Genomic DNA, 24,940 nt, shown 5'->3' with positions numbered 1-24,940 from the left:
GTTGGGTAGGGCAGGACCCTGGGGCTCCAGGGAGCCTGTGGGACCTGGAGGCCCCGATCTGCAGGAGAGAGGTCTAGGACAGACTACAGGGGGCCAAGGAGGGTGGGAAGGTGATGGAGAAGGAGATGTTTCGGGATGGATTCCCAGACTGGTCTTGATCCGAATTTTCCCTCTGCCATAACAGTTCTTACTCCCTACTCTTTCACACTCCCAGCCTCTCACAGCCACAATGACAGTTTTCATTGCTCCTCTAAACTCCTGTGACCCTGTTCTCTCATGCAGTTTGCTCTAAGAAAACATAAATTTTTTTCTCTCTTGAAGGCAGCACTTATACCTGAGAAGGCTCAGATGTGGAGAGAGTGTGCACGGGCAAACCTCCTTTTATTGTGCTTCGCTTTATTGTGCTTTGCAGATTTGTTTTTTTTTTTTTTTTTTTTTTTTTTTTTTGAGATGGAGTATTACTCTGTTGCCCAGGCTGTAGTGCAGTGGCGTGATCTCAGCTCACTGCAAGCTCCGCCTCCCGGGTTCGAGTGATTCTCCTGCCTCAGCCTCCTGGGATTACAGGCACAAACTCCTGACCTCAGGTGATCTACCCGCCTCGGCCTCTCAAAGTGCTGGGATTACAGGTGTGAGCCACTGTGCCCAGCCCTTATCTTTATTTGTATTTTTTTTAACAAATCAAAGGTTTGTGGCAGCTCTGAGTTGACCAAGCCTATTGGTGCCACTTTTCGCAACAGCATATATTCACTTTCTGCCTCTGTGTCTGGTAATTTTTGTGCTATTTCCAACTTTTTCATTATTATTCTATCTGTTATGGTGATGTGTGATTATCAATTTTGGATGTTTTTATTATAATTGTTTTGGGGTGCTATGGAGCAGGCCCATATAAGATAGATAACTTAATAAATGTTGCCTGTGTTATGACGGCTCCCCAGCCTCTCTCCCTCTCTCTATTCCCTGAGGCACCACAATATTAAAATTAGGCCAATTAATAGCTCTATAGTGGCCTCTAAATAGAGTGGCTGCATTAGTCTGTTCTCACACTGCTCATAAAGACATACCAGAGACAGCGAAATTTGTACAGAAAAAGAGGTCTAATGGACTCACAGTTCCACATGGCTGGGGAGGCCTCAGAAGCATGATGGAAGGGAGGAGCAAAGGCACATCTTACATAGCAGCAGTCAAGAGAGCGTGTGCAGGGGAACTGCCCTTCATAAAACCATTAGATCTCATGAGACATATTCACTAGTAAGAGAACAGCACGGGAAAGACCTGCCCACATGATTCAATTACCTCCCACCAGGTCCCTCCCACGACACGTGGGGATTATGGGAGCTACAATTCAAGATGAGATTTGGGTGGGGACACAGCCAAACCATCAGTGGCCTTCCTTCAACTAAAAGGAAAAGTTGCATGTTTCTTACTTTAAATTAAAAGCTAGAAATGATTGAGTTTAGTGAGAAAGGCATGTAAAGGCCAAAAGCTAAGCTGCTTGTGCCAACCCGTTAGCTAAGTGTTGAATACAAAGGAAAAATTCTTGAAAGAAATTAGAAGTGCTACTCCAGTAAACACATGGATGATAAGACAGTGAGACAGGTAAGGAGACACACACTCACACTCACACTCACAGAAGGCCACTTGCAGGTTTATATACTCCATGTTAACAGGGATGGGGCATAAAATAACATTTATTCTTCCTGTTCTATCTTGACAATTTCAATAACAAAATCCCTTTGTAATGATTTAAGCAAGAATTAAAGAAACAAAAGAAACTTAAGGTAGGGCATTTTATTCCTAATTAGTTTTTTAATTCTTTTTTTTTTTTTTTGAGACAGAATCTCACTCTGTGGCCCAGGCTGGAGTCCAGTGGCACGATCTTGGCTCACTGCAACCTCTGCCTCCCAGGTTCAAGCCTCAGCCTCCCAAGTAGCTGGAACCTAATTAATTTTTATAAAACACTTGTTCACTTGGCAGTGTTTTCGTATACTGCCACCCTTTCAGATAGAATTCTTTTTGGTCACCAGGTCAAGGCTTGGTAACTGAGCACACTGTACAACGTGCATCATAACTCACTGTTAGGGATTAACCAGTCCCATAGGGCACGTGGCTGTAATTATGAGCTGATAATTAGAAGTAAAAGAATGTAGAGAAACAAAGCCCTTTAGAAATCTGAAACATAAATGAAAAGCTTAGAGAGACCGCACACTTATTTCCCCCAATATTTACAACAACGGAAAAATTTTGCCGTCTCAACCAACTTGCTTTTGATGAAACTGTTTGAGATCAAACTGTCTCAGACCAAATCATGTGTATCCTCCATAGAGGAGAGGATGAAGTGGCAGGAGGAAGCTGCATGTTCTGATCCCACCTGTATTAGTCCGTTCTCACACAGCTATAAAGAACACTACCTGAGACTGGGTAATTATAAAGGAAAGAGGTTTAACTGACTCGCAGTTCCACGGGCTTAACAGGAAGCATGGCTAGGAGACCTCAGGAAACTTACAATCATGGGGGAGGGCCAAGGGGGTGCAGGCACCTTCTTCACAAGGCGGCAGGAGGGAATGTGTGCGAGAACAAGAAAGTGCCACACTTTAAAGCCACCAGCTCTCATGAGAACTCCCTCAATCACGAGAACGGCATGGGAGAAAACACCCCCATGATCCTATCACCTCCCACCTGGTCCCTCCCTTGACACGTGGGGATTACAATTTGAGATGAGATTTGGGTGGGGACACAGAACCAAACCATATCACCACCCAAGGATCTTTTGCAGTCTCTAGGAAATCCCATAACTTGATGGATGAATCAGCCACCCTCCTAGGAGGGCTAAGAAATATGGAATTCATCACTTAACTCAGCAAGTGATACGAGCTAATTTCCCTGCTCTTAGAGAGACAGAGAATGGCGATTTGGATGTTGAGGAAGATCACTAACCAAGATTTTGCCCCAAACAGCAGAGCTAGTGAAGACCCCACCCAGGAGGCTCTTAGGGCTGCCACCCCTTAATTTGGTTGTGGTTGGGTTGTCAACACTGCCACTGTCTCCCACAAAATGGAAGAAGCCAGGAAAGTGGCCTCAGTTCTAGCAAAGGAGGGCCTCATCTCCCCAGCCTTCCCCTGCCCTGGCATCGACTCTGTCTCCTTCATTTCCACATGAGCTGGCTTGCCAAAGCATGACAGGGCTGGTCCGGGGACTGGCCTAACCCAAACAGGGTATGCACAAGTTTTCCTGGACCACATTTGATTCAGGCACCTGAGCGAGGACTATGTTTTCAGGCAACCTCAGGTTTATTTATTTATTTATTTTTGAGACAGAGTCTCTCTCTGTCACTCAGGCTGGAGTGCAGTGGCACAACCATGGCTCACTGCAGCCTTGACCTCCTGGGCTTGGGTGGTCCTAGCACCTCAGCCTCCCAAGTAGCTGGAACCCCAGGCATGTACCACTGCACCCGGCTAATTTTGTTTATATTTTGCAGAGACAGGGTCTCACTATGTTGCCCGTGCTGGTCTAGAACTTCTGGCCTCAAGTGATCCTCCTGCCTTGGCCTCCCAAAGTGTTGGGATTACAGGCATGCGCCACCGTGCCTGGCCTCATGTTTAGATGGGTAGGTTGTTGGCAGAGAAGCCACAGCCCTGCTGTTGGCTGATGTGTGTCCTTATTGCCCGGTCGCCCTCCCTCACCCCTGTGCCTCTCCTGCCCAGACCAGGACCACAGTCCATGTTATGACTTATGTAACATTCATTTTTTAAAATATTGCCAAAATGGACAGATTTCATGTAAAAATCCAAATTTCTGCCCGCTTTTGACTATCAGCACAACTGATCACAACTGATCACACCGGGTTCACAGTCCTGAATGACTGGGCAGGGCGTACACTATCCCAAATGCCTGCCAGTCCCCTGGAGTCCAACTCTCTTTTTTCTGTGACTTGTCAAGCCCAAGTCAGAACCTGGGCATGAGGCCCCCACCTGGGCAGGTCTTACCTGAGACTCCATCCTCATCCCTCAGTGTAAAGGCTCCAGGAGGTACACCAGGACCCTGGGGACCTCTGACCCTTCCCCCACTTCAGCAGAGCCCAATCCCAAATTCCAGAAGGGCTCACCTGCAGTCCGATGTCTCGGGGCTGGTTGTCCACAGCCACCCTGGTGATGCCGGGAAGGTCAATGATGGTCAGGTCTGGAACCTCAGGGGAGGTGATCTCCAGGCTGATGAGCTCATGGCTGATGCCCCGGCCATTCCCGGCCATGACGTTCTGGGCTATGGAGGCCAGGAGGGGAGAAACCCAGAGCCCTCATTAATGATCCCTGTGAGGAAGCAGTTCCTGAAGGTAATGACTGCTCCTTTCCAGGGTATGAGAGCTTCAGTAGGTCCCTGGTGTTTAGAAAACATTTCAGAGAAGCCTGCAGAGGGATCTCAGAAGCCACCAAGATGGCTGTTTAATATGTAGGTGCACAGACCTACACTTTCCAAAAGACGAGAAGAAAAGATTCTGGTATGTTAGCTATGGGACTGCGGATGGGTTCTGTTCTCTTTCTTCCTGCTTTTTAGCATTTTCCAGTGAGTGCTGTGGTGGTTTTAAAATATGTCCACAAATCCTTCAACATTCCTCCCTCCAAAAGCACCCAGTCTATTGGCTGGACATAGGGGCTTGTTTCTAATGAATACATGCAGTGGAGGTGATGGTGTGTGACTAGTTCCTAAATGCATCATGGCTTCCTCCTTGATTCCTTTTGGATGACTAGCCCTAGGGGAAGCTGGCTGCCATGTCACAGGGACACTAAGTAGCTATGGAGAAGTCCACAAGGTAAGGAAGTATGGCCTCCTGCCAACTGCTTTAGTGAAGATTGCCAGATGGTTTTCCAAAGTGGTTGCACCAACTTACATTCCCACCAGCAGTGGAGGGGGTTCCAAGATGCTATTCTAAAGATGTCTTGTCTTGGGTTTGCTCGCTATTCATTCTTTTTTTTTTTTTTTTTTTTTTTGAGACAGAGTCTCGCTCTGTCGCCCAGGCTGGAGTGCAGTGGCACGATCTCGGCTCACTGAAAGCTCTGCCTTTCGGGTTCATGCCATTCTCCTGCCTCAGCCTCCTAAGTAGCTGGGACTACAGGTGCCTGCCACTGCGCCCGGCTAATTTTTTGTATTTTTAGAAGAGACGGGGTTTCACCATGTTAGCCAGGATGGTCTTGATCTCCTAACCTCGTGATCCGCCTGCCTCGGCCTCCCAAAGTGCTGGGATTACAGGCTTGAGCCACCGCGCCTGGCCCTCACTATTCATTCTTACCCAAAACTTTGACCAAGCCTGCACATATGGTGTGCTGTTGGTCTGCTAGAGACAGCTCTCCTGGCCCTGCCCCACAGAGCTCACAGCTGGTGAGACTCCAGACAGATGTCAACGAACATTGCAAGATGTCCTGGGAGCACCACAGTAGCTGTGGTGGGCACAGCTGGGGTGCAGACCTTTTGCAATTTGAAGTTAGGAAACTTGCTAATTGAGGGTATCCAGCAGCTTCTGTTTTAGAGGGGTGAACACGGAAATTGGAGTGAAGACCTCTCTATTTGGGAAGGGATTCCTCCAGAAAGCCATTTGATCCAGGCAGACAGGGGTTCTGTGGGAAAGGGCTGAGCCCACAGGGTCGTCTAAAGGGCCCCCGCTCAGACACTGAGTTTGCTATCCAGTAATGCAAAAGGCCTTCCTTGGACTTAGTTCCTCCCTGCAGGGAGTCTTAGTACATTCAGGATTGTTTTTCCATCTATCCTGGCTGAGTCCAGGACAGGCTGTGCAGGCAGGATAGGGGAGAAGCCTTTAGGGAGGTTGAGAGGCTCCAGTGCCTGGGGCAGGCAGGGCTGTGCACTCCAAGGGACGTAACCACTAGGGCCCCTCGGGGGAGAAGGGTGTGGACTCCAGGAGCAACTGAGCCTTTTCTGATCAGCCATGGCCAAGAACAAGCATTGGGAAACTTGTTCCACAGCTGGGTGAGAGGGGTCTGCATTTGGAGGGGGTGCTGGGAGGAAAGGTGGCCACAAGGTGGCTGGCCAGGGTTAGAGCTGAACTTCAGGAAGACAAGCCATGGTTGTGACACCTGGGGTGGGACCAGGGGTCCTGCAGCAGCATTTCCAAAGGGGGCGCAGGTGACCTGAGATCCAAAGATCGAGTAGGGATTGGGCAGGTGAAGGGGAGAAACCTGGAAGGAAGAGAGGGCGAGTACCCTGTGGAGTAGAGAAAGCCTGGGCTGGCGGGGAGCGGGAGAGGACAGGTAAGGCCAGCCACGTGGGCTGCAGGCTGCTAAGGGAAGCCACCAGAGGGTCCTCGGCATGGGATGACTCGATGAGAGGGGACCTGGACAAGGACCTGGAGGGATGGTGGAGGTGACAGCAATGGGTTCAGCCCCATGTGGGAGCACATGGGGCTAGGAGCTGAGTGGTCACTGTGGGGGTGACTTGAGGAAGAGGAGAAGGAACCGAGGAAGTGAGAGGAGCGGCTGCCAGATCCGAACCTCAGAATGACGTGGGCCCACCTTTGTGTATCTCTTTCTCCACCTGGCCAGGGTCCTGAAGCTCTAGCTCGGTGTTCCGGTAGCTGATCCTTCCGGCCCATGCCTCACAGGGCTGCTTTTTCAGTTTCAGCACCAGCGGACACCTGGTTACGATTCCTGAGCGAGAGGTTCCCCAAATATCCTCAGTTTCCTTTTAAAGAAGTGGCACTGGGCCCTTCGCTCCCAGAACCTGCCCTGCTGTCCCCAAAGGCCTCGTCTGCACTTTCTGGCTCTCCCTGGGGCCTGGTAGTAGGTGAGGGGGTCTGGACTGAGCAGATGCAAAGGGGCACAGGGCCCTGGGAGGTGCTGCTATCCTTGGGAAGTGTTCGCTGCCGGAGTAAGCACCCTGAGCTCCGATGGACATGAGCAAGTGGCTATAGCCACAGTCCTCACCACAGCCATAGCCCCCACCACACTGCCCTGGAAGTGATGGAGGCAGATGCTGGGGCTCCGGTACATGTCCAGGCTCCCCGTCTTTCTGCAGCTGGAGTCAGCATGTCAGGTGTCTGCCCCAGGCCCTGTAATTGTCCCGGTGGGCAGCCCTGGTTAGTGTGGGGGGTGGGGGATGGCGGGAATGTGGAGCAGTGAGACCCATCCAGGGGCCATGGAACCCCTCTCAAGGAGTGGGAAGAAGGTGGTGAAAGCCTGGAGGAGAAGCCGGACATCCCGAAGGAGGAGCAAGGGGAATCCTGATAGTGCCCTTTGAGGCAGGATCCTCCGATGCTACTGAACCCAGGAAAGGTGGGAGCGGTGCTGAGTTCCTTGGGGTGGGGGCCCTCACGCTCCTGCCGTGAAGCCCTGAGAACCCGCGACCTTTGTCCCGTGCCCTATAGGGAGGTATTGTCCCGTCTTCCAACTATGGGACTCGCCCAGGGTCCCGTGCCTGCCCTCTGGCATTCAGACTCTCCACCCCGTAGTCTCACTGCCCCAAATGCTGAACCCAGAGCACGGAGAAGGACTGGCCATCCCACACCCTTACTCTCTCCTGCCTTGTGCCCAGGCTGATGGCCATCTTACGGGACACGCTGGGTAAAGGACCAGGCTGCAGGTGGCAGCAGGGAGGCCAGGGGAGGGGCACTCTCCCAGGCTCACTGTGGCTTTGCGGTTGTTGCAGGGGGCTGTGCAGGGTCCGGGCAGCCCTCCAGCAGCCCCACCTTGCTCTGGGCAACCTTGGAGAAACCATCAGATGCCTCCCGGCCACCCCAGCATTCTGGTTGGGTTGAGAAGTAAGCAGCAGTGGCAGGAGAGGGGAGCCAGGGAGGAGAAGGAGCTGGGCGCTCTCTGCTGCCGCTGCACCTGCCAGGGCCCCTGCATGCTGCTCCTTCTTGGGTTCTGGAAGCTGCTCCCCTTCCTGTCCCACCCCCTTCTTGCTGGCTTCCCTATGCCCTGCTTACCTAAAAACTCCTTTCTAAACACTCTCCAGTACCCACTCTGAGGGTACCGCCTTTATCATTTTCCTTTATAATTATTTTATTAAATTATGAATGTACAACAGCTTCTTCACTCTAAACAGACTTTTAAAAGTTTTTGTTCAAGGAAAAGGTGTCTCATATCATGATCCTAAATAAGAGGTTTTCAAAACATTGAGACAATTCTTTAAGAAGGCTTCGCCTGTCACCTAAAACTTATCAACTTATCAAAGAAATGCTTCTACATTCTTACAAAGACCACTAGGAAGAGGTGGCAAGGTCCCTGCACCTGACTGACACACGGGCAGTGAAAGCTATTTAAACATGTATGGGGAATCCAGCCCCCTGCCACCAGGCCTGAGAAGCTGCCCTCCTAGGGCCCTCCCAGTGGCCTGTCTCTCCCAGCGGCCTGTCTCTCCCAGTGATCTGTCTCTCCCAGCAGCCTGTCTCCCAATGGCCTGTCCCTCCCAGCAGCCTGTCTCTCCCAATGGTCTGTCTCTCCCAGTGACCTGTCTCTCCCAGCAACGTGTCTCTCCCAGCAGCCTGTCTCCCAGAGGCCTGTCTCCCAGCGGCCTGTCTCTCCCAGTGGCCTGTCTCTCTCAGCGGCCTCTCTCCCAGCGTCCTGTCTTTCCCAGCTCTCTCACCCAGCAGCCTGTCTCTAAAACCTCTTGGTGCCTGGGGAAGCTTTGTGGCTTACAGGTGGCGCTGCTTGCTGCGGAGGGAAGGTGGTCCGTTGAACTTACCGCTGCCTCTGGGAAGCGCGACTCCTGACAGTGCCTCCAGCACAGAGCTCTTGCCCGAGCTCTGGTCCCCGATGACGGCGATGGCTGGCAGGGCCAGGTCCTGCTCCACACCCAGAGCCCGCAGGGAGTCGATGAGGTCAATGCAGGGGCGCACCTTCTGCTCGTACTGGCTGTACAGGTTGTTCTCGGGCCCCTGGAGAAGGCAGAACAGATGCCACTGCCTTGACCCCTGATAGGGTCCCTGGTGTCATGGAGATGTGTGGCAGAGTTTGTGCGGCTATGATGTTAGGTTGGGTTGCAGACAGGAGGTGAGAAGGTGGATGGAGGGGTGCTGCTGCTTTCAGGGGCCCTTCTGTTCTGTTCCTATTGAGGCCTCACAGGGGCAGATGCTGGGAGGATTTGGCTGCAGGTGTGCAGGGTGTGCCTCCTGGGGAGGGGCTGGGAGCACTGAGCCAGGAAGAAGTTCCAAGAGGCAGAGACTCCAGCCAGAGGGAGGAGAGGTTCTGGGTTGGGGAGCTGCAGAGCTGGGGAGGGTGGCAAGTGGGTGGGCTGGCAATGTGATGGCTGCAGGGGAGGCTGAAAGAAAAGCTCCAGGAAGGGGACCCCCGCACACAGAAGCCCCAGACCCACGTCGCAGCAGCCCGTTGCTGCAGGAGAGTCTATGTATGTTCCTGGTACTTGTTGGGCATGACCAGGAGAGCTGGAGACATCAGCTGTGCTGGAGGAGCAGACTGGCTGGTTCTATTATTGTGGTGGGCTTACATGACAGCCCTCTGCACCGGCAGCCAGAATGCACCCTTTCTGAACGTCCCTCCACCGGGCTTACCATTGCCCTTGGTTGGCTCCTGTTTCCTGGTGGTGGCTGATTGTTCAAAGTGAGAAAGTTGAAGTCCTTGGCGAGGAAAGCAGCGTCCTTCTCTGCCCCCTGCCAGTTTGGAGGAAACATCATTTGTGGTGGCACTGTGCCGAATGGCGGTGGCTGTTGCTGGAAGGAATTCATTTCTTTTTTCAGGTATTTTCGAGAAGAAAATTGACTTCTCCTCCGGTAGGGCCAAGGCTTGTGGGCCTTAGACATGTGCTGTCTCCCTGTCAGAGCTGGGGGATGCTTTCTCTGCTACTTGGCACCTCCGATCTTCCTGACAAGCTCTGCAAAGACACAAGAGGGAGAGCGGCCCACAGGTCACCAGAAGTCCTCCCTGAGTTGGCACTTTTGCCAACCCCTCCTCACCCCACCCTACAACCTACCCCCTACACACAGATGCAGAGACCAGGGGTCCAGTGCAGGGCCCCTGTCTGCAGGAGGGGCTCTTGGCAGCCACAGAGCACAAGTGGATTTCTACCGGCCCGGGCTTGGGGAACGGGGGGCAGTGGACTCCACATTCCCAGTAGAGTCTCAATGTTCCTTTGCTACTTGTAGTTGTTGTTGTTGTTGTTGAGACAGGGTCTCACTCTGTCACCCAGTGGGGGAGTGTAGTGGTGCAATCAGGACTCACTGCAGCCTCAACCTCCCTGGACTCAAGCAGTCCCCCTGCCTCAGCTTACCGAGTAGTTGGGACTAGAGGCATGCACCACCATGCCCAGCTAGTTTTTTTTGTGTGTGTGTATTTTTTATAGAGATGGGTTTTTTGCCATGTTGCTCAGGCTGGTCTCAAACTCCTGAGCTCAAGCAATCCGTCCGCCTCAGCATCCCAAAGTGCTGGGAATACAGTCGTGAGCCACCACACCCAGTCTCCTTTGTCACTTCTGATGGTCTGTGTCATCTATGGCATCAGGTCTCTGTGGCTCAGCACCAGGCAGGAGAACCATTAGGTGTGCAGAGATGACAGGCAGCACCTCCTGGGCCTGCTGGAAGCCAGACCTGGCCTCACACCCGGGCTTGGCCAGGCACCAGGGGAGTGTGGGAGAAGCAGGTGTTGGGCCCCAGTTCTCAGGCTGTGGCCTGCACTCAGATGAGGGCAGCACCATGCTGAGACATACATTTAAGCTTCACAACAAGCCTATGCATTTGGCCCTTATCTGGATTTTCAGGGTCAAGAAACTGACATCCGGGAGGGCCAATGACGCCTAAGCCAGGACTCAGAGCTGGGCCTGTGCTCCGGGCAGGAGCCCCCCACACTCTGGATCACACTGTATCCCCCTTTCCTCTAGTAGTAATGTGGATCTAGGAGGCTGAATGGTGTCCCCACAGTCCCCCCAAAATTTATGTTCACCTGGAACCTGGGAACATGACTTTTTTTTTGGAAAAAGACTCTTTGCAGATATAATTAAGGTGAAGATTTTGAGATGAGATCATCCTGGATTTAGAATGGGCCCTAAATCTCATCACAGGTGTCCTTATCAGAGACAGGCAGAGGGAGATTTGGGACCTGGAGACACACAGGGAGAAGGGCCTGTGAAGACAGAGGCAGAGACTGCAGTGCTGCAGCCCAGGCCAGGGAATGCCAAGGCCTCTGCCACAGCCACCAGGAGCTGGGAGGAGAGCACAGATTCCCCCTGGGGCCTCCAGAAGGAACCAGCTCTGCCGACACCTTGATCTGGGACTTCCAGCCTCCAGGGCTGTGAGAGAACCAATGTGTGTTGTCTAAGCCACCCAGTCTGTGGTCTTTTGCCATGGCAGCCTGAGCAGACTCATACAAGGGTACGACTCTGAATGTGCCAGGCACTTTCCACCACGTGGTTATTGTGGTGATCAAGTCAGACCAAGCCCTCACTCCTGGCACACCATCCTAGCAGGGAAATGCCAAAACAAATATACCAACCAACCAGGCTCCAGGTGACAAGGGAGTGTCTGGAGAAAGACAGGTGGTGGGCTTGAGATTCTGGGGTGAGGGTAACTTGGGTGCCCACTGGAGGGTGTGCCTGGGAATGGGCAGAGGAGCAAGGCTTGGAGGAAGTGGGGACCAGCCTCTCCCGCAGAGGAAATGCATGTGCAAAGGTCCTGAGGTCGGAATGAGCTCAGGGAATAGGAAGATGGTCAGTGTGACTGGTGAAAAAGAGGGAGGAAAAAGGCTTGCAAGATGTGGGCAGAGGTCTTGCATTGTGTGTGGGTGTGAGGGAGGCCTTTGGAGGGTTCTGAGCTGGAGAGTGGTGTGATGGGCACCCTTGAAGATAAGGAGACCAGGTACAATAAAGGACACAGCCATGGACCAGGAAGGGCATGAAGAAGAGGTAAGGTTTACACACAGCCAGAGTGCTGGGGCTTTGGGACAGTTGGGCCAGGCCACAGGACTCAGGCTCTGTACAACTGAATCTCATGCGTCCAGAGTTTCTCCCTCGAGCAACCTGCCACATCTGCTACCTGCGACACCTGCCGGCTTTCAGCATGGCAGCCTGGAGAAGTGGGAAGCTAGCCCCTGGGGCAACCTCCCATCCTGAGGTGGGACAACTGGGGACAACTTCCTCCTTCTCCCACCTCTCAGATGGACATGCTTCCATGTGGCTCGTTAGAAGGTCCACGTAGGATGGAGCCCAGTCATCCTCATGGGGTCTGCTGTCGGGGCCTTCCCCGTCCCTGCTCACCAGCCCAGACCCTACTCCTGCCGCCCGGGATCCCAAAGCCATGCACAAGCCTCTGTGGAGGCTCCACTCGGCGAGGGGCAGGGCAGGACTAGGCCAAGGCAGAGTGTCCTCCAGAGGCAGGTGGCAGCACCATCTCCCTAAGATGAGGCCCACAGTCCGGGTTTAGGATAAAGAATTAGAAAGTAGGGTTGGGGCCGTCCAGCACAAGGGCTGTGCATGGGACCCGGGGACCCAGAGCATGTGCTGAAATCTCTCTGGGTGTCAGTTTTCACATCTAGAAAATGGGGCTGACCGTTCCTCCTGAGGATGTGGGAGGGTTCCGTACTATTACTTACATCTTATAAGCACTTGTGGCTCAAAGACTGAGTGCTGGTACCAACACTGTCATGTGTGGCTGTCATGTGTGGCGCTGGTCTCTGTGGAGGGGACACTAGGCTTCTCACCATCCCCTTTCTTGGGAGGGCAGGGCTGCTGCGCCTGCTCAGGCTGAGAGCAGGGACTGCGCTGTGCAGGAGGCGGTGCTCAGTGAGTGTGTGGAGCCTGTCCCAGGGCTGGTTCCCGCCTGCTGTTTAGGAGGGGGGTGCAGTACAGCCATCGAGGCCCGGCTGGGAGGACACCTGCCTGTCTCTGTCTGGCTTTTTTTTTTTTTTTTTTTTTAAGTTTGAGAGTCTGGGAAAGCAAGGCCTGCTTGAGGTTTGGTGCCTAGCTCTCTTTCTGTCTTTGAAGTCCTCCCTTCTCCTGGGGGGCTCCAAAAGACAAACCCAGGGGCAACACCCTTTTGGAAACAATGGCAAAGAGGGTGGTGAGAGCCGACTGGATTCTGGATGCTTTGAAGTCATGGTCAACAAGTCAGCTAATGGCTGGCTGTGGGGCTGAAGGGCAGAGGGGAGTTGGGGAGAGCAGGAAGATCTGTGGACAGAGCAGCTGGAGGGGGAGCCACACAACTCCAAAGGGCCTCGGGCTGGAGACTGCCTGCAGCCTGGAGGGCCCTGGCAGGGGTGGGCTTCCAGGACACCTCATCCTAATGACCGCTCCCACCCCTGCTCTCCAGTGCCTACTCCCAACAAGGCACAGAGAGGGTGTGGCTCACCCAAAGTCACATCATGCATTGGTGACAGCCGGGGCTCCTGGGCCTGGCAGACACCCCCCTTGCCACACCCAATTTATCTGCCTCAGCTCCATGGCTCCCCTGGTTGGGTTCCTTGCTCTCTCTGAGCTGCAGTTCCTGAGTCAATGTGAGTCTTCATCCACTCTGTAAACATTCATTGAGTGCCTGCTGTGTGCCAGGCTCTGGACACCCAGCCGGGAGACACTGCCACCTTTTTTGGTGCTAAGGATCTGATGGGGGAGGCAACAGTCAAAAGCTGCATTCCCACCATCTGCACGATATCTTTCCTGATGGATTCTGCCTGTTTCCTGTCTCCCCAGCTGCAATAAGGCCCCAGGGGGGCAGGGATTTTTACCTGTTTTTTTTCACAGCTGTACCTGCAGCCCAAAGTACCTGGCATACAGTAGGAGCTTAATAAAGGCTGTGGAGGAAAAAACAATAAAAATGGCGAAAGCATTTCCTGCGTAGGAAACTGCCATGCACCCATCAAAATGTTCTATCTCTTCATGTGAGCTATTTCCCAGTGGCTAAGCTGTAGTCCTGACTTCAAGTCACATTATTTTAAGAGATAAAACAGTAAGCATTTATACCAAGAATAGATAAGATGGGCATTTGGAGCTGCTTATGATTTGGGGATGCTACGGAAGCACAGAGGATTTATGATATCTGTGATTGTTCACATCAAAAATGAGTAAGGGATCAGTAACTTATTAGAAGCTACCCAATATCCAAAGGAGGTATGAGATACTAAAGTAGAAGCTTTTAGTTGAGAAGCCATGCCAGAAGTCAAGGGCGATGTCCTTACTGACTTCATGTTAAAAAAAAATAGCTTTAAATACTATATTAAGAGTTCTAAAATAGTAACTGACATCTATCCACCAAACTTTCAGAAAGAAAATTGGATCCATTTATAATTGACTCATAATAATCGATGCAAACTTCTGACAAGTAATATTGGCAATCTCAAAAATAGTTTCTTAATAAAGATGGAATCTGGTCATCTCAGAACACCTGTCCTTGAGTGCCATGAGCCTTCCTAGCTAAATTACTCCATAATTGTTTGCATCATGGAAAAGGTAAATTAAGTTTTACATGCAATGCATATTGGTCAGGAAATTTTCTGGAATTGGCCCAGGAAGTGGTAGAGTCCTATCTCATCTGCAACCAATATAACCCAGGCAAGACTGTAAAGGTGAGACAGGATTCAGAGCCATGGGTTCATGATAGCAAGTCTACCTCTTGCTAGACTTTCTATTCTCAGCATGGACAATACCTATCTTCCTATCAAAAGATTATAGACTTACTGTCCTGGAGGGTCCTTCTTCTAACACAGACACTTCACTGTCTGAATCACCCTCGGTGTTCGCAAAATACAAAATCAATCACACACTGAAGCTGAAATTCCCTAACTATAAAAAACCCTCCATCTCTCTGGGCTTTGAGTTTTGCCACCAGCTTTATTGGCCGTGCGGTCTTGGCCTCTATCTGTAAGCAGAAGATGTGGCTCACCCAAAGTCACATCATGCACTGGTGACAGCCGGGGCTCCTGGGCCTGGCAGACACCCCGCTTGCCACACCCAATTTATCTGCCTCAGCTCCTTAAGGAGCTGCTTAAGGAGTAAGCAGAAGATTACTCCTTAACTCCTAGGTCGAGGATATAATAGGCTATTGGCGTGACCGTCTCTGAGTGCTCACTTAGTCCAGCACCCCATGAGATCATAACCAGATGCTGTACATGACCAGGAGTAACTCCAGCAAGGCCTGGCTCTGCTCCATTTCATGTACGCAGTTAAGCATTGTCAAGGATTAGCCTCACACACCAAGTCTCGTGCCCAAAGGAAATGCCAGCCAGAGGAAATGCCGGCCAGACTTTTCTGACCTCCAGCCTGGTGTGGGTCCGCTGGAAGAGACCTCAAGGCAAAAACTTTTCAGACCTCTTTGGAAGGAGCCATTTCAGGTCCTCCTAGCAAATGCCAGGGCAGTCAAGATCCAAGGTGTTGACCCAAGTACTCAAGAGTCAGTAGAAACAGGCAACAAACCCAGACCAATGGATCAGCTCAAATGACCTCAAACCAACACTAACCACAAAAGCCTCCAGATGCAAAAACTAAGAGCTATGGACCAAGCAGTCGGCTTTGGGAGTGGACAGCTTCACTCGAGATGACGAGACCAGATAATGATTGAACTTCTTGTGACTCCCACCACAGTGGATTTCTTTGTGTGTATTTTTAAACATTATACTCATGGCTATTCTCTCTTTTTCAGGATCAGATTTCAATCCTGCAACCACGTTTTCTAATTTACTTGTTTTTGTCTTCTTCCTCCCTCCTTCAGACCAAAACACATTTTCTCCTAGCCCACCCTAAGAATGACTCAGCAGTCCATTTGGAAATCTTGCCTCTTGCTGGATCTGCCACCCATTTCCAACTCCAGGAACCACACAAATCGTGAGCATTCCCCTACTGAATTCCACGCCATACATTTTCCAACACATAATTCCAACACATAATTACCTTAAGATCCATAGAATAAGTATTCTTATGCCCAGACACACATAGGCTGCCATAATCACTCCTACCATAAAACACAACCCGCATGGCCGCGGTCTGGGGGAAATGATCCTGCCTCCTATATGAGCACCCTGATGCTTTTCACATCCCTTTAGATCTGCTCTCAATTTCACTGAAGGCAATGTTACCACATACTTACATTTCTCATGAACAGATTTTTGCTTCCAACTCTTCTCCGCTCATGAAATACTGTTATACAAACAATAGAACCATTTGCAAGAGAAATATGCATGAAGAAAAATGTCCACGTGCAGGAAGGCAAGACTGTTTAGTTGCCACGGAAGTGGTCATCGCCGTTTGCTGAAACAGAGCTCATGGGAAACTTTTCTCTCCGAACAACCCCACACCGCCCCACTCCAACGGTGCCACGGGAGGGCCCCTTTCCTTACATGGTGCCAATGCACCCCCATGCTGGCCCGAGGACCGTCATCGTACTTTGGGGGCTCCTAGCGATACAATCTCAGGATTCAGCTCCTCTCCTGTCCCATTTCCTCTGCTCGTCACAGCTTTCACAGAAGTAGCTTTGCTGGAAGTGTTAGAGCCGCAGGTTCCAACAATTAACTTGAAGGTCTTTCACCTTGGTAGTGGTTCCGGATTTACGGCTATCACAGGCTTATCCCTTGCTCTGGGTGGAATGACACAGCCCAGGAAAAGAACCTTTACCCACCCGCCATGGTGGGACGGACGACCATCCAGCTTTGGGCCACGCAAGTCGTGGGCGGAGCTCTGGGGAACACTTCCTGTTGCTTTGCTACCCTCGTCGAGTCTAGCAAAACAATCTCCACATGCAAACACTGGCTTTCCAAAGTAGAGAGCAGAGCTTGGAATCTTTTCTGGCTAAAGGCAGGCTGAGGGGGACGCGGGCTTCCTGGAAGTTCCCCGACTTTGCTGATGGGACTGTCCCCTGCTTGCTGCACAGCCACGGCGGGGCGGGAGCGGGGGCGGGGGCGGGGGGCAGGGGTGCGGCGGGCAGGGAGGTCCCCGCTATTGTGGAGGGAGGAGAGTGACTGATCGCAAGGCTCTGTGCTGGATGCGGCATCATCCCCCATGCAGGGTGGCCCTGGCTTCTACCGAAGGTGGCTGCTGAGAGCGCCCTGCAGGAAGGCCCCAGGGGCACCAGAGTCCCAGAGCAGCACCTCACTTCTCGGGAATACCCCTTCCAGAAACCCTGAGGCCAGCCCAGCACTCCCACCTGCTGGCCCAGCAGCTCTCAGCGGCTTTCCTCCCTTGGGACAGAGACTGCTTACACTGCCGGGCTCAAAAACCTGCCCCGTGCCCCGGCCAGCCTCATCCCCAGATGTCACCCTGTGATGACCTGGACTGCCCTCTCTGCAGTGGAATCTTCACTAGGACCCTCTGTCTCAGCGTTTCCTAATGAGCTCTTGCCCAGTCTTGCATCCTCCCCGCGCAGCCTCAGAGGGGCGGATCTTCCAGCAGAGCCAGCGGCTCCTGAGCTCAGCAGCCCCACCTGGGGTCCCTCCTCACTGGGAGGAAAGACCATGGTTGTGTGAATGGCCCCGCCGCCGCTCAGCCTTCAGCTCCTGTTCTCCAGCCTGGCTCCCAGAGGTCCAGGTCCACAGGCCTCCTGCACCCCCCTCCTCCCATGGGGGCTGAAAGCACTTCCTGTTTTCAGAACTAGCCCTGGGTTCGTAAAACGTTTTCTGATGTGAAATCCTTGAAACCAGAAGGGCTAGGCAGCAATTTTATGGGATCACTGAGAGATGAGTCCATCTAAAGTTGGCACAAACAGCTCCTAGCCCTACGGAGACTTTCTCAGGGGGTACAGGAGGGCTTGGCCAGGACCCAGCAGCTCGGTGGGCCTGGTGGCACCCACCCTAGCAAGTGAGATCTCAGGTGGCCTCACTCCACCCATCTGTCTGGGAGGGAGCCTGGGACTCTGAACCCCTAGCCACAATATCCTTCAAAGGCTGAGAGCTGGAGCCAGCTGCCCTTGGTGACGAAGTCAGGGGTCCAGGAACAAAACCGAGTGCTGATGGGAGGTGATAACTCAGCCTCAACTTCTTCCTCTCCATGGGAAGAAAGAACAAGGGAAAGGAGGGTTCCTTTTGTGAAGCCCAATATTCTTCATTTCATGTTCCTTTTAAAACATATTTAAAACTGTCGCCACCCTCACCCTCACCCTCATTTTCATGAAGGGCAGGTCTTGCTAAGCGTATCATGAGCTGATTAAGTTTGAGAGGACAGGAGCTGGGCACAGATTGCTCTGCAAAATAAAGGGGTGAAAAGTTGCAGGGGTGAACATGTGTGAAGGTCGGAGGCAGGAGTGAGCCGTGGGGTGACATGTAGGGGATGAGAATTCCCTCAGTCCCCCTCCCCATTGCAGTTTAGGGAGGATTTTCTGACACGGGCCTGTTGAGTAAGGAATGTAGGTTTCGGGTTGTCTGGTGTGTGCCTGGTGAACCATCTGTCTCCCCTGCACAATCTTCAGAAATGGCTACAGTGTGTCTGTGTGAGTGGACTGTCTCGGGAGCCTGTCGGCTGGCTGGGTGCCCCTGCAGGCTCACGGAGACGACACGGAAGAGCCGGGTGACACATGGACAGGTGGGACTTGGGCTATGCACAGAGGCAGGAGGGAATGAAAGTGGGGGGCTTAAGAGGCTTAGGGGTGCAGGCCTCTGCTTTCAGGAGCCGCTGCACTGTGGGTTCCTCTCCAGGGCTTGGTCCCCACGTGGGAGCTTCCGCAGCCCAGTATAAATGCAGAGCATGGGAGCTGTGGACCTTGACTTGAAGAGAAAGTGCAGGTCTTGAGAGAGGGGAACTGAAAAACCAAGAAGACAGCTGGTGAGAGAAGAGGAGAAAAGAGAAGACAAGGTGGCTGTCAGGGTGCAGCAGACAGCCAAGTTAAGAGTTAAGACAAAGATGAGGAACAGGGTGAGGTCAGAATCCAGGAGGGAGCTACTGAGGGCCAGGTCGGGGGTGACGGATCCAAGGAAGGACAGCAAGGCCTTGATAAGATGCAGTGGACCCAGAGGAGAGGTGAGGCCAGCTGGCTCTGTACTGCTGAGCCGCAGGATTTGGAGTTGCTGTCAACTTCGAGGCTGCTGTTAAACCAGGGGGCTGCCAAATATTTTCAAGCGGTGACCAGGCCAGGAGTCTGAAGACTAAGAAGCATGCATTCTGGATGAATTGAAAATCGGTAAGAAAATAGGAGGGGATCCTTTTTTCTTAGAGGATCAAGCTTGGAAAGTCCCTCCTTCTGACTGAGAAAAAAAAGGGATTTGGTTTATTGCAGCTCCCACACTAGCAGGCTGCTTTGCATCTTCCAGTTTTAGCCATTGCCGGGTTCTGCATCAGACACTTTCCTATAACATTACCATCTTATTCAGGTTTCCCCGTAGAATCATTCACTGAAAAACAGCCACTTAACATGGTCCTGCCTGCCTCCCAGGAGTGTCAAAAGAAAATGTGATCCCGTGGAAAAGGTCTCTGCTTTAAAAAAAAAAAAATTTCACTCAAGAACATATCCATGGATTTATTTAATCTCCTTAATATAAAGAAATTATGTTAAGATTATGTTAAGATTAGTCTCCTTAATATGCAGTCACAACAAATTACCTTGCAGAAGTCCAAGCTAGTCAAATTTACTCTCCCGGTGAATCCAGGAGCTCCCTCTTGTTCAAGAGTGAGAGAGACAATTGTCCTATCCTCCCTTAGCCTTGGCCGTGGGAGGCTGAGAGCCAAATGCTATGGTCAATCAGAGCGGCCCTTAGTTCTCACGTGATGTCATGTTCCTTGGTTCCTGTCCCCTGATTCTTGCTGGGTTTCATTCTTGTGTTACAGGTTTATGGTGGCGCTTTTTAAAACACCTCAGAGCAGAGTACGCAAGAGATAGTCTTTGTGGGTTGAGCGAGGAGTCCAGGGGGTGGGGGTTGCCATGTCAACAGTGAGTCACAGCTGGAGAGGCTCTGGAAGGGCAATGTTGGGACATATATATATCAGCATCCGGGTTTCTTGTGTAACAGGACAGGGTGCCGGGGTCAGACCAGGTTAGGAACCTAGAACTGGTTCCTGATAAGATAGAGGAAAACAAGGGACTCCACGCACAACACAGGGTGCCAGGGCTGAACAATATGGGGCGGAGGAAGACGGCTGGTCTTGTGCAGGGATCACTGAGGCTCTCCCAGGGAAGGGACTTCTCTTCTTCCCTTTCAATGGCAGGACCCAAAGCATCTGAGAAGGACCTCTGCCTGCCCTAGTAGCTGGGATTACAAGCATGCACCACCACGCCCAGCTAATCTTGTATTTTTAGTAGAGATGAGGTTTCTCCATGTTGGTCAGGCTGGTCTCCAACTCCTGACCTCAGGTGATCCACCCGACTTGGCCTCCCAAAGTGTTGGGATTACAGGCGTGAGCCACTGTGCCCGGCTAAACCTCTTTTCTTTGTAAGTTACTCAGTCTCAGGTTTACCTCTATCGTGACACAAATGGACTAGCACACCAGTCATAGATCAGCCCCGTGAGTGATATACAGGTGCAAAAAGGGAATTCATCAAATCTATAAGACTATGTTCCCCAAACTGTGCACCTGGGGTATTTCAGCAAACTCACAGGCCACTGTGGGATCTTTAAGATTTCCCAGTGATACACGAAGGCAGCTGTTGGACACCACCCAGCCTACTATTACTGAGTTGTTTGGACCTACCTAATTAGTAAATAGAACTGCCAGGAATTTATTTTGGGTGGCGGGCACCATAAATGAACTACGGAACCACTCAGGGAAGCCCAAATGGAGAAAGGTTGAGAATCTCTGCTCTAAGAGCAAAGGCCGGAGGACCGGCAGATGCTGAAGCAGTGTGAGGGTGCACACGTGTGAGAGGCAAGCGAGGGCGACTGAGACAAATCCAGGCTGAGTGAGGAGGCAGGAGTGGGCTTCTGCGTGTCTGTGTCCAAATGTCCCCTTTTGGGGAACACTTCTGCACTGCTGGTGGGAGTGCGAATTAGTTCAGCCATGTGGAAAGCAGTCTGGTGACTCCTCAAAGAACTTAAACAGGATTACCATTCGACCCAGCAATCCCATTACAGCGTATGTACCCAAAGGAATAGAAATCATTCTACCGCAAAGACACATGCAGACGAATGTTCATGGCAGCACCGTTACAATAGCAAAGACATAGAATCAACCTAAATGGCCATCAATGGTAGACTGGATAAAAAAGCGTGGTACATATACACTATGGAATACTATGCAACCATCAAAAAGAATGAGATCATGTCCTTTGCAGGAACATGGATGGAACTGGAGGCCATAATCCTAAGCAAACTAATCTAGTAACAGAAAACCAAATACCACATGTTCTCAATTATTAGTGGGAGCTAAACATTAAACACACATGGCCACAAAGAAGAGAACAAGAGACACCTGAGCCTACTCAAGGGTAGAGGGTGGGAGGAAGGAGAGGAGCAAAAAGCTATCCATTGGCTACTACGCTTATTACCCGAGTGATGAAATAATGTGTGCACTAAACTCCCATGACACAATCTACCCATGTAACAAACCTGCACATGGACCCCTGAACCTAAAATAGAAGTTAAACAAACAAACAAACAAACAAACAAACAAATTTTCCTGTTTTATAAGGATACCAGTCATATTGGATTAGGGCCCACCCTACTGGAAAACAACCTCGTCTTTAATTACATCTGCAAAGACCCTATTTCCAACTAAGGTCACATTCAGAGGTTCTGAGGTTAGGATTTGAACATATACATTTGAGGGGTGTGATGGTTAATACTGAGTGTCAACTTGATTGGGTTGAAGGATGCAAAGTACTGATCCTGGGTGTGTCTGTGAGGTGTTGCCAAAGGAGATTAACATTTGAGTCAGTGGCTTGGAAAGGCAGATCCACCTTCAGTCTAGGTGGGCACCATCTAATCAGCTGTCAGCAAAGCTAGAATATAAAGCAGGCTGAAAAATGTGAAAAGAGAGACTGGTTTAGCCTCCCAGCCTACAGCTTTCTCCTGTGCTGGATGCTTCCTGCCCTCGAACATTGGACTCCAAGTTCTTCAGGTTTTGGGACTCACACTGGCTCCCCTTGCTCCTCAGGCTGCAGATTGCTTATTGTGGACCTTGTGATCCTGTAAATTCATACTTAGTAAACTTCCATATATATGTATATATTTATTTTTTTATATTCCATTAGTTCTGTCCCTCTAGAGAACTCTGACTAATACAGGGAGCCTAGTTCAACCCATAACAGGTACGTAGTGACTGAAAGTAGTACAGCAAGAAAATCAGCCCAGGCCCCACCTCCTGCAGCGCTGCCCCGCCCCATCCCTGTCCCTGTCCACGCTTGAGGAGCCGGTGCCTGTCCCCGATGCCCAGGATGTGCTTAGTCCATCTTCCACCAGGGTCCTCAGGAGCCTGAGAGTGTGGTGAAAAGGGCAGCCTGGTCACTGTATTGATTTCTATTGAGGGCTGGAAAAAAACTCCAAAAGTGCAAAGGGGAGGGAGTTTCCCTACATATGCTTAAAGCCATAACTTGGCAATTCCAGAGACCTTTGCAAAGAGAAATCCCTCTTTCCAGGCGCATCACTGGAGAGGAAGGCCCTGCGGGGTGAAGGCCCAGGAAGCTGGTGGTTACCCAGCTTAGGCAGCACTGAGGTGAGGGAGTCCAGGCAGAGGTGGTCAGAAGTCATGGTGAATTCATGACTGACACTCCCTGATGCCCCCGACGAAGGCAGAAGCCTCTGGCTCCAGAATGCTTTTGGGTCTATCATCCCCCCAAATTCTCAAGAGAGCCTGTCCTGCAGATGAGGAAACTGGGCCATGGGGAGATGCTGGAGGCCTTGTGGGGGCCCCAGCCCAGGGCTGGGAATCGGGTCTCCACTGCTGTCTCTGACCTGCACCTGACACTGCATCCCAGGGTGTTGAGATTGGAGGACAAGCACACACATTCCCTGCTGAGTTTGGAAGTTTGACTGAGACTGCCAGGATCACGTAAGCACCCCTGGGAAGGATGGAAATGGCTGTGCCGGACATGGTGGTTCCCGCTGAAGTCTAAGGCAAGCTGCGTCTCCCACACGGGCATAGCCACTATTGCTGGCTTGCAACCAGTCCGAGAGCTCTGCCGGGTCCTGGGCACCAGGGGCCACTCTGCTGTGTCCCTTTGCTCCAGTCCCAATGTCACTCGCATGGTGCAGGGTCATGGCTGACCAAGCACTGGCACTGAATGCGACCTTATCTCCCCGGGCTCACCTCCTTTCTTTTTAAGACCGCTTGTTTTTCACCCACTCAAAGATATATATTGAGCACTAAGTCCTTGAGATACATATCGAGTCAGGCAGACAAAGATCTCTGGGGGAGCTTGCATTCTAGGGCAGGGGCTAAACCTAAATAAAGCTCACATACATCCTGGCCAGACGCAGGGACTCACACCTGTAATCCCAATGCATTGGGAGGCCGAGGCAGGAGGATCACTTGAGCCCGGAAGTTTAAGGCTGCAGTGAGCTATGATGGTACCATTGCACTCCAGCCTGGGAAACAGAGCAGGAAGACCCTGTCTCAAAAAAGAAAAAGAAAAAAAAATTGTACATCCGAAGGGAGTCAAAAGTGCTTCAGGGGTTGGCGCGGGGCTGGGAAGTAGAGCAGAGTAAACGGAGGAGAGGGTGCGAGGAAAGATAGCTTGGAATCCTGATCTTTTTAAACAGCTAGAGACAACATTCTAAACACAAAATGAGAAAGAACAGTGTTCAAAAGGTGTCATCAAAGCCGAATGGGGTGGCTTACGCCTGTAATCCCAGTGCTTTGGGAGGTTGAGGCGTAAGGACTTCTTGAGCCAGTGAGTTTGAGACCAGCCTGGGCAACATAGAGAGCCCCTGTCTCTACAAAAAGAAATAAAATTAACCAGGTGTGGTGGTGCACACCTGTAGTCCCAGCTACTTGGGAGGCTGAGGTGGGAGGATCCCTTGAGCCCGGGAGCTTGAGACTGCAGTGAGCCATGATCACGCCACTGCACTCCAGCCTGGGGAACAGAACGAGAACTTCTCTCAAAAAAAAAAAAAAAAAAAAAAAAAAGAAAAAAAAACTGCGTCATCAATACCACCATGTCTCCTTTCCGCTCTATATCAATTATAAAATGGACTTCAGCCCCCAGAGTGCAGGCGATCCAGGGTGCAGTGGTCCAGAGTGCTGGAGTTGGCCCCTACTGGCTGGGAACTGGCCACGGTGGGAGCATTCACACCATGAGAACGGAAGAGAATCGGCAAAGGCTAGAAATCAGGCACCACCCTCTGCCCTGCCCCGCCCCATGAGAGCCAATTTCCCAGCATATCACCGTCACTAAGGTTACGTCAGAGCATCACAAATACCACAAAAGAAGGAACACTTGAAACCCTCCGAGACGACTTTTCGGGCACAAAGCTCCTTACTCAACCCCCAGACTTTGTAGGACGCTGAGCAAAGCTGTCCTAAAAACCACCCCTTTGCGTCCACCCGACTTTTGGCCAGATCAGGATGGAGGCCACCCTGTCCCCAGGGCCAGCCACTTCCCCTCCAGAGCCTCTTTGTCTGTGCACAAGGCTACTGTGGGCTGGTGGCAACATGGGCCCTTTCTGCTCCTCACACCAGAATCTTATCTTTGTGGCTCCTGCCTCCCAGCACAAGCCACATTCACCAAGCAGATGTCACGTTACTCAGGAAATATTTTTTAAACACGCATCTGCTGTGCATCAGACACAAAGCAGCCCTCCCTGCACCGGCCCCGCTCTTACCGCTGCACGTTCAGGATGGAGAAATCATCTCTTCCCTTTCCTCCACTTCACTTTTATGTGGCATATGAACCACTCCCTCCCCTGCTCCGTCATCAACAAACAGGGAGAGAAATGAAACTACTTGATCTGGCCACAGAAATGAAACTGAGTTATCAGCGTGCTCTCCAGATGACTCACAGAGTGGTCCCCAAACTCCAGCTGCATCCGAATCCTGGGAGAGCTGTGGAGACGGGGCGGCTGTCCCCCCACCCCCGCCAGAGAGTCTGATCTGTCAGGTCTGGGCTGGGCCTGAGAATCAGCATTGCTAACAGATTCCAGGGGAGGCTGGC

The 24,940-nt window shown here is 51.6% G+C and overlaps 1 protein-coding gene across 11 annotated transcripts in view, besides 22 other annotated features; it reads right to left on the bottom strand.

Moving 5' to 3' along the window:
- The window catches only part of MX2 (MX dynamin like GTPase 2), a 47,367-nt gene extending 22,727 nt beyond the window's left edge, over positions 1–24,640 (bottom strand). Inside the window, exons 1-6 of one of the 11 annotated variants that reach the window (XM_047440779.1) lie at positions 16,022–16,598; positions 13,668–13,733; positions 9,512–9,831; positions 8,686–8,878; positions 6,516–6,650; positions 4,103–4,257 (exon numbers count right to left, since the gene is read on the bottom strand). In XM_047440779.1, the coding sequence (XP_047296735.1) occupies positions 4,103–4,257; positions 6,516–6,650; positions 8,686–8,878; positions 9,512–9,760 (732 nt within the window). In that variant the 5' untranslated portion in view covers positions 9,761–9,831; positions 13,668–13,733; positions 16,022–16,598. Of the gene's footprint in view, positions 1–4,102; positions 4,258–6,515; positions 6,651–8,685; positions 8,879–9,511; positions 9,832–12,539; positions 12,933–13,667; positions 13,734–16,021; positions 16,599–23,250; positions 23,651–24,611 lie in introns of those variants that run through there. The other 10 variants (NM_002463.2, XM_024452080.2, XM_047440780.1 and 7 more) reach the window with 10 other exon arrangements.
- Positions 7,096–7,595: an enhancer, noted in NCBI's record as "H3K4me1 hESC enhancer chr21:42750999-42751498 (GRCh37/hg19 assembly coordinates)". NCBI's record gives its function as "activates a minimal SCP1, AML or CMV promoter by ChIP-STARR-seq in primed H9 embryonic stem cells {active_cell/tissue: H9 hESC(primed)}" and the evidence as "EXISTENCE:reporter gene assay evidence [ECO:0000049][PMID:30033119]".
- Positions 7,596–8,097: an enhancer, noted in NCBI's record as "H3K4me1 hESC enhancer chr21:42750497-42750998 (GRCh37/hg19 assembly coordinates)". NCBI's record gives its function as "activates a minimal SCP1, AML or CMV promoter by ChIP-STARR-seq in naive H9 embryonic stem cells {active_cell/tissue: H9 hESC(naive)}" and the evidence as "EXISTENCE:reporter gene assay evidence [ECO:0000049][PMID:30033119]".
- Positions 11,936–12,080: an enhancer, noted in NCBI's record as "145 bp 21:42746578 sequence used in MPRA reporter constructs". NCBI's record gives its function as "activates a minimal TATA-containing promoter with 21:42746578 allelic activity by MPRAs in C283T melanocytes and UACC903 melanoma cells {active_cell/tissue: C283T | UACC903}" and the evidence as "EXISTENCE:reporter gene assay evidence [ECO:0000049][PMID:36423637]".
- Positions 11,936–12,098: a biological region, named in NCBI's record as "melanoma risk locus-associated MPRA allelic enhancers 21:42746568 and 21:42746578".
- Positions 11,954–12,098: an enhancer, noted in NCBI's record as "145 bp 21:42746568 sequence used in MPRA reporter constructs". NCBI's record gives its function as "activates a minimal TATA-containing promoter with rs376364 allelic activity by MPRAs in C283T melanocytes {active_cell/tissue: C283T}" and the evidence as "EXISTENCE:reporter gene assay evidence [ECO:0000049][PMID:36423637]".
- Position 12,016: a transcriptional cis regulatory region, noted in NCBI's record as "21:42746578 MPRA-significant variant associated with a GWAS melanoma risk locus at 21q22.3". NCBI's record gives its function as "allelic transcriptional activity by MPRAs in C283T melanocytes and UACC903 melanoma cells {active_cell/tissue: C283T | UACC903}" and the evidence as "EXISTENCE:reporter gene assay evidence [ECO:0000049][PMID:36423637]".
- Position 12,026: a transcriptional cis regulatory region, noted in NCBI's record as "rs376364 or 21:42746568 MPRA-significant variant associated with a GWAS melanoma risk locus at 21q22.3". NCBI's record gives its function as "allelic transcriptional activity by MPRAs in C283T melanocytes {active_cell/tissue: C283T}" and the evidence as "EXISTENCE:reporter gene assay evidence [ECO:0000049][PMID:36423637]".
- Positions 13,108–13,252: an enhancer, noted in NCBI's record as "145 bp 21:42745414 sequence used in MPRA reporter constructs". NCBI's record gives its function as "activates a minimal TATA-containing promoter with rs416981 allelic activity by MPRAs in C283T melanocytes {active_cell/tissue: C283T}" and the evidence as "EXISTENCE:reporter gene assay evidence [ECO:0000049][PMID:36423637]".
- Position 13,180: a transcriptional cis regulatory region, noted in NCBI's record as "rs416981 or 21:42745414 MPRA-significant variant associated with a GWAS melanoma risk locus at 21q22.3". NCBI's record gives its function as "allelic transcriptional activity by MPRAs in C283T melanocytes {active_cell/tissue: C283T}" and the evidence as "EXISTENCE:reporter gene assay evidence [ECO:0000049][PMID:36423637]".
- Positions 16,343–16,552: an enhancer, noted in NCBI's record as "active region_18476". NCBI's record gives its function as "activates an Ori minimal core promoter by ATAC-STARR-seq in GM12878 lymphoblastoid cells {active_cell/tissue: GM12878}" and the evidence as "EXISTENCE:reporter gene assay evidence [ECO:0000049][PMID:35858748]".
- Positions 16,343–17,191: a biological region, named in NCBI's record as "H3K4me1 hESC enhancer GRCh37_chr21:42741403-42742089".
- Positions 16,486–16,630: an enhancer, noted in NCBI's record as "145 bp 21:42742036 sequence used in MPRA reporter constructs". NCBI's record gives its function as "activates a minimal TATA-containing promoter with rs398206 allelic activity by MPRAs in C283T melanocytes and UACC903 melanoma cells {active_cell/tissue: C283T | UACC903}" and the evidence as "EXISTENCE:reporter gene assay evidence [ECO:0000049][PMID:36423637]".
- Positions 16,505–17,191: an enhancer, noted in NCBI's record as "H3K4me1 hESC enhancer chr21:42741403-42742089 (GRCh37/hg19 assembly coordinates)". NCBI's record gives its function as "activates a minimal SCP1, AML or CMV promoter by ChIP-STARR-seq in primed H9 embryonic stem cells {active_cell/tissue: H9 hESC(primed)}" and the evidence as "EXISTENCE:reporter gene assay evidence [ECO:0000049][PMID:30033119]".
- Position 16,558: a transcriptional cis regulatory region, noted in NCBI's record as "rs398206 or 21:42742036 MPRA-significant variant associated with a GWAS melanoma risk locus at 21q22.3". NCBI's record gives its function as "allelic transcriptional activity by MPRAs in C283T melanocytes and UACC903 melanoma cells {active_cell/tissue: C283T | UACC903}" and the evidence as "EXISTENCE:reporter gene assay evidence [ECO:0000049][PMID:36423637]".
- Positions 17,192–17,880: an enhancer, noted in NCBI's record as "H3K4me1 hESC enhancer chr21:42740714-42741402 (GRCh37/hg19 assembly coordinates)". NCBI's record gives its function as "activates a minimal SCP1, AML or CMV promoter by ChIP-STARR-seq in primed H9 embryonic stem cells {active_cell/tissue: H9 hESC(primed)}" and the evidence as "EXISTENCE:reporter gene assay evidence [ECO:0000049][PMID:30033119]".
- Positions 17,423–17,482: an enhancer, noted in NCBI's record as "active region_18475". NCBI's record gives its function as "activates an Ori minimal core promoter by ATAC-STARR-seq in GM12878 lymphoblastoid cells {active_cell/tissue: GM12878}" and the evidence as "EXISTENCE:reporter gene assay evidence [ECO:0000049][PMID:35858748]".
- Positions 17,743–17,792: a silencer, noted in NCBI's record as "silent region_13331". NCBI's record gives its function as "represses an Ori minimal core promoter by ATAC-STARR-seq in GM12878 lymphoblastoid cells {active_cell/tissue: GM12878}" and the evidence as "EXISTENCE:reporter gene assay evidence [ECO:0000049][PMID:35858748]".
- Positions 18,263–18,312: an enhancer, noted in NCBI's record as "active region_18474". NCBI's record gives its function as "activates an Ori minimal core promoter by ATAC-STARR-seq in GM12878 lymphoblastoid cells {active_cell/tissue: GM12878}" and the evidence as "EXISTENCE:reporter gene assay evidence [ECO:0000049][PMID:35858748]".
- Positions 18,480–18,981: an enhancer, noted in NCBI's record as "H3K4me1 hESC enhancer chr21:42739613-42740114 (GRCh37/hg19 assembly coordinates)". NCBI's record gives its function as "activates a minimal SCP1, AML or CMV promoter by ChIP-STARR-seq in naive H9 embryonic stem cells {active_cell/tissue: H9 hESC(naive)}" and the evidence as "EXISTENCE:reporter gene assay evidence [ECO:0000049][PMID:30033119]".
- Positions 19,033–19,132: an enhancer, noted in NCBI's record as "active region_18473". NCBI's record gives its function as "activates an Ori minimal core promoter by ATAC-STARR-seq in GM12878 lymphoblastoid cells {active_cell/tissue: GM12878}" and the evidence as "EXISTENCE:reporter gene assay evidence [ECO:0000049][PMID:35858748]".
- Positions 22,057–22,106: a silencer, noted in NCBI's record as "silent region_13330". NCBI's record gives its function as "represses an Ori minimal core promoter by ATAC-STARR-seq in GM12878 lymphoblastoid cells {active_cell/tissue: GM12878}" and the evidence as "EXISTENCE:reporter gene assay evidence [ECO:0000049][PMID:35858748]".
- Positions 24,096–24,935: an enhancer, noted in NCBI's record as "active region_18472". NCBI's record gives its function as "activates an Ori minimal core promoter by ATAC-STARR-seq in GM12878 lymphoblastoid cells {active_cell/tissue: GM12878}" and the evidence as "EXISTENCE:reporter gene assay evidence [ECO:0000049][PMID:35858748]".

The sequence above is a fragment of the Homo sapiens genome, chromosome 21, assembly GCF_000001405.40.
Source record: "Homo sapiens chromosome 21, GRCh38.p14 Primary Assembly".
In the NCBI taxonomy this organism is placed as follows: Eukaryota; Metazoa; Chordata; class Mammalia; order Primates; family Hominidae; genus Homo; species Homo sapiens.
This window is presented reverse-complemented; position numbering and strand designations above follow the sequence as displayed.